Below are 6,115 nucleotides of genomic sequence, written 5' to 3'. Positions count from 1 at the left end.
TCCTAGGTTTGATTTTGTAGTATGGTTAAATAAGTTGGCAATATTGCAGGAGGCTGTGTGAAGGGACTCTAGGTACTATTTGTACAACTTCATGTGAGCCTATGATTTTTTTTTTAAGTTTAACAAAAGTTAGTCACGTGTGGAGAACATAAGTAGATTATTCATTAGTAAGATGTGTTATAAGGTTTTTAGTTGGCATTTCTGGAAGATTAGTATAAGAATACTAAAGTCTGTTAACTAAAGTGAGAAGATGCAGTTATTGATGTATGGAAACTCTTCTGTTCTAAAGTTCTATTTTATTTTATTTTTATAGATTTAAGGGTAAACATGCAGTTTTGTTACATGAATATATTACGTAGTGTGAACTCCAGGCTTTTAGTATATCCATCACTCAGATAGTTTATATTGTAGGTAATTTTTCATCCCTCACCCCTCTCCCAATCTCCCAACTTTTGGAGTCTCCAAAGTCAATTATTCCACTCTGTATATCCAGGTATACACATTGTTTAGCTCGCAATAATAAGTGAGAGCATGTGGTATTTGACTCTGTTTCTTAGTCATTTCACTTAGGATAATGGCTTCCATTTCCATCTATTTTGCTGCAAAAGACACAATTTTATTCTTTTTTATGGCTGAGTAGTATCACATTGCATTTATATATCACTTTTTAAAATTCAGTCATTCATTGATGGACACTTTGGCTGATTCCATGACTTTGCAATGGTGAATAGTGTTATGATAACCATACCAGTGCAGGGGATTTTAATATATATAACAATTTCTTTTTCTTTGTGTAGACACCCAATAATGGGATTGCTAGATCAAATGGTGTTCTATTCTCAGCTCTTTGAGGAATCTTCATACTGTTTTCCATAAAGTTTGTACTAATTTACATTCCTACCAACAGTGTTCCCTTTTCTCTGCATCCTTGCCAACATCTGTTGTTTTTTGACTTTTTAATAACCATTCTTATTACTGTAAGATGGTATCTTAATGTGGTTCTAATTTGCATTTCTCTAATGATTAATGATGTTGAGAATTTTTCCACGTTTGTTGGCTGCTTGTATGTCTTCTTTGGAAAAATGTCTGTTCATGTCCTTTGCCCACTTTTTGATAGTGGTTTTTTTTTTTTTCTTGTTGAGTTGTTTGAGCTTCTTGTAGATTCTAGATATTAGTCTTTTTGTGGACACATAGTTTTCAAATATTTTCTCCCATTCTGTAAGTTGTCTGTTTACTCTGTTGACAGTTTCTTTAGGAGTGCAGAAGCTTTTCAGTTTAATTAAGTCCCATTGGTCTATTTTTGTTTTTGTTGCATTTGCTTTTGCGGTCTTAGTCATAAATTCTTTGCCTAGGTCAATGTCTAGAAGAGATTTCCTACATTTTCTTCTGGGGTTTTTATAGTTTCAGATATTACATTTAAGTTTTTAATCCATTTTGAGTTAATTTTTGTATACAGTGAAAGATATGGATTCAATTTCATTCTTCTGCATATGACAATCCAGTTTCCCTAGCACCATTTATTGAACAGGGTGTCCTTTCCCTTGTGTATATTTTTGTTGACTTTGTCAAAGATCAGTTGATTTTAGGTATTTGGCTTTATTTCTGTGTTCTCTATTCTGATCCATTGATCTATTTGTCTAGTTTTATACAGTACTATGCTGTTGTGTTTATTATAGCCTTGTAGTATAATTTAAAATCAAGAAATGTGATGACCCAGCTTTGTTCTTTTTACTTAGGATTGCTTTGGATATTGGGGCTCTTTTTTGATTCCACATGAAGTTTAGGTTTCATAATTCTATTAAAATGATGTTGTTATTTGATAGGAATTGCACTGAATCTGTAGGTTGCTTTGGGCAGTAAGGTCATTTTAATGATACTGATTTTGCCAATCCATGAGTATAGGATGCTCTTCCATTTGTTTGTATCATCTATGATTTCTTTCATTAGTGTTTTATAGTTCTCCTTGTAGAGCTCTTTTACCTTCTTGGTTCAATGTATTCCTAGTTATTTTTGTAGCTATTGTAAATGGAATTGAGTTGATGATTCGTTTCTCAGCTTGATTGTTATTGAAGAAGATGTAGTTACTGATATAGGAAGTTCTTAATCTAGTAAGGGTAGCTATAGAAGTAGTGAGCAAAGTCAAAGAATTAGAAATTGCCCTAAGTTTTTTCTTTTCTTTAATGTTTGCCACCTATTTTAGTAGGTATCCCTTTAATCTCCAGTTAGTTTCCTGAACTATACCAGTAATACCATTCCATTCCAATCTCAAATGACTAAAGCCCTTCTCCTCAAATGTTAATTGCTTGAGACACTGGTTTTAAGAAATATTAATAGATTGGATACAAAGTTTATATTTATATGATTAATTTGGGCTAACCACATTAATCAGATTTGTTTTTATCCTTTTTAAAAGTTTGTTAATATGCTCAAGTGTTTTATGACTTTCCAAAAGAATGAGAGGGAGAATTCTAGTTTTCTTCTTCTGGACAGTGGAGTTGAAAGAAACACAACACTGTTTTTCCCAAGTTTCTTTGGGCTAGATAATATTGTAATTTTCAGTCAAACAAATTTTAGTTAAAATCTATACTCAAAGTAATGAGTGATTGCCCTCATTTCAGGGCATTTCTGCAAAGAGACAATATCTAAATTTGCTTCTGGTATATATTATCTTTTTGGTACTTTACTGGCAAAATAACCCTAGTCATGTAATTGAAGGGAAAGCTGTTAACACACTCATAATCATAAAAAGAGGTGAATAGTGGCTGATTTTGTGTTTTTTAACAGCTTACTCTTTCTGCTGGGCAAATGACCACAAAGGTTAATGTCTTGACTATAAAATTGATTCCAGAGACTTCACTGTCTGTGTTCTACAGATATTGTAAGGTGAAGAGGTGCCATTGGCTGTTCATATTCTCCAGCTTATAAACCAAATTTGAAAAATGCTTTAGCTTTGACAATCTTAGGGTAATTTACCATGGTCTATTATTACACTAGAGAGAACAGGAAAAACAGTCAACCACATTTAGTACATCCTTGGGAGCTGCAAACTTCATTCTGGGGAAAATGATGCAGAAATGTTATCTTAATCAATTGTGAACACATGGAGAGTAACGTTTTGTACAGAAGCCTACATTTACTGAAGCCATGAGATGGAATTCTACTCAGCAAGGTTTTATTTTAAAATTCTAGACAAGAAAATAATACAGTTATGGATCCTAAAATGATCTGCCGTTTGTTTTTCTACTCCCTACCTTCTGTCATTTGCATTAGTACTCTGTCTGGGATAGTCTATTCTTTCCCTCCACTTTCGTCCTTCTTCTGAGGAGTTTTAAGTGCTAAGGAGCTTAATAATAAAATCACCTCACCTGTGTCATACATTTTATCCTCAGCATTTGTTAGCCTTATATCATGGCTTAACAAACACAGAAAGTAGGGATGAATAATGAAATATCTGCAGACAGACAGAACTAGTCTCACTTTTTGGATTTATAACTTTTTGTTAAAATAATTTTTTAACAAATTACTTAATATATCTCTATATCTTTATCTGAGAAGTGAAAATATTAATATATCTCTATATCTTTATCTGAGAAGTGATAAATATATCTTTATCTGAGAAGTGAAATAATCTGAGAAGTGAAAATATTTATGAAAATAAATCATAAGTCTATTATAAGAAATATATGATAATTATATAGAGTATGAGCTTTTAGATTTTGAATTTCTTGAAGGTACTGTGCCTCAGACATCTTTGTCCTTTGAGCACATCTTTGTTTTCTGAGCACATTCCCCTCAATATATGATTCTCATACGTTTGTCAGTGTTCACATATTAGTCTCCTTTTAGCAAGCAGGAAAAGCATAGAAAGGACTTTGATCGGCATTACTGAGATTCCCATAGGGCATTGCTATTTCGAGTATAAGCAAATAAATTGTTGTTTTTTCAACTATGGCTAAAAATAAATTTTGTGTAATAAAGTTTACTTGTAACTAAATAAACATATTTGCTTTTCTAAATTTTAACTGATTGTTATGTTCAGTCTGAGTAAAACAGGTAGAAAAATAAACAAATGCATAAACCTTTTTTAAAGTAATCTTTTACCTGTTGAAATACTATTCTGGGCAAACCCCTATTAATTACTGCAGTATATAATGAGAGCTACTAAAAAGTTAGAAAAAAACCAACATTAAAACAGAATGCCACTAGGCACCCATTAGACTACCAGCATAACTAACACATTCTATTCTTGATGGCAACAGATAATCATGACTACATCACCATTGTTTTTTTTTTAATTTTTATATTTTTAGATGGTACACATGCAAATTTCTTACATGCATATTTTGCATAGTGGTGAAGTCTGAGCTTTTAGTGTATCCATTACCCAAATAGTGAACATCTACTATGGTTCTGTTGGGGATGACAAACAAGACGTAGCTTAACGATGGTCTTGAAACTCAAAATGAATGGACACCATAAGTTATCATCTTTGCTGGCTGAACTTTAAAGCCTTTCCAATATGGATAGAAAATGAAGGTGCATTGCCCTCAAGTTGCTGAAATCATGTAGAATTGATACTGTCCAAAGGAGTCCTGCCTGTTAATAGGCATATGATTCCTGAGTGGCTACGTGTCTTTGGTAAGTCAGAACTTGATTACTAACAGTAACAATCTTCCTAAAATGAAAGAAGATCTAGGATAGTTCTAGTGGAAGGTAAATAGTTTGTAAGGATCAACCTGCTTAAAAAGACAGAGGAGTCAGGGCTGCTAGGTCTAGTAACCAACTGATATCCCAAGTTTTGCCTGGTCTCCCATGCTGTCCTCCAGATAATAGGAGTGCTTAATCATCAGAATGTCATGCTCAGGGTCCCCACTTTGGTTTCTACACTTCCAGGATCTTCTCAGTTTTTGTGCTTTAGAAACATTCCTTAGAAGATTTAAGCATTTAGTTAATAATGTATTTTTTTACCTGCACATTACTCTGCCTGCTGTGAGATTGAACCCATTTAAATTGTCAAAGCATGTAAATCCTGAAGAAGCACCATATATATTTATATATCTGAATTCCCAACTCTAACACCAGCTATTTGCCCTGTAAACATTATAGAACCTCTCAAAAAATTAGTTTCCTTAAATGTTAAAGAGAGATCATGAATGATAGAAATTTGATCATGGGGTTACGATGAGAGGCAAATGATAGGATATGTGAAGCAGCCGGAAGAATTCCTTGAGTATAGAAATCACTCCATAAATGTTAACTATTATTAGACTATAAATGTATGCAACTTGTGGCCAAAAACTAAATGCACATGGGTGCTTCGAGTAAGCCATACACGTCATATTCTTTTATGCACACTAAAATGAAATATTTATCCTAAACATATTTCTAAACATTTTTTGCTGAAAATGTTTTAAACGTTTAGAAATTATAAATATTTAGCACATTTTATACCTTTAAAATATGTTTAGTATTTAACAACATGTATTAGTTGTTTGGCACATTTTAAATGTTTAGAAGCTCCTAAACATTTACGCGGTACACATGTCAATTTCAAAACATTTAACATATCCACTAGAGTGCACAATACTGTAATTCATTCCCTCCCAAACATCATACATATGTAAAAAAAAGTGTGTTTTACTTTATTTCCTTTATATTTTTATCCTGGGTGTAACCTAAGTCACCATTCCCTTAATGTTTTTTTGTATCCATTTTTTAAAATTTATTTTATTCTATGATGTTTCTGGTTAGACCCATTTCTTTGCCATTAATTTCTTGTCCTCACCAATGTCTGCTCTTCTCCAGGCCACCACATTGCTTTATCTAGGCTCATCTGTAGATGTAATTTCCCCTCTCTCATAATAAGGAAATGTGACTATCTACAACATTACTTTGGAACTTTTTATTTGTTCAGCAATTTTCAAGGTGCTTGAAGAAAATAATTTCGTATCTGTTTTACTGCTTATAAACGCAGTCCCTAAGGGGCCATTAAAAGTTTCCACACTATAAATTTGAGAGATTACTTTTTTTTTTTGAGACAGAGTCTCGCTCTGTCGCCTAAGCTGGAGTGCAGGGGCGCCATCTCGGCTCACTACAACTTCTGCCTCCAGGGTTC

The sequence above is a fragment of the Homo sapiens genome, chromosome 21 (assembly GCF_000001405.40).
Source record: "Homo sapiens chromosome 21, GRCh38.p14 Primary Assembly".
Taxonomy (NCBI): Eukaryota; Metazoa; Chordata; class Mammalia; order Primates; family Hominidae; genus Homo; species Homo sapiens.
The sequence above is the reverse complement of the archived record's forward strand: the minus strand, read 5'-3'. Positions refer to the sequence as shown.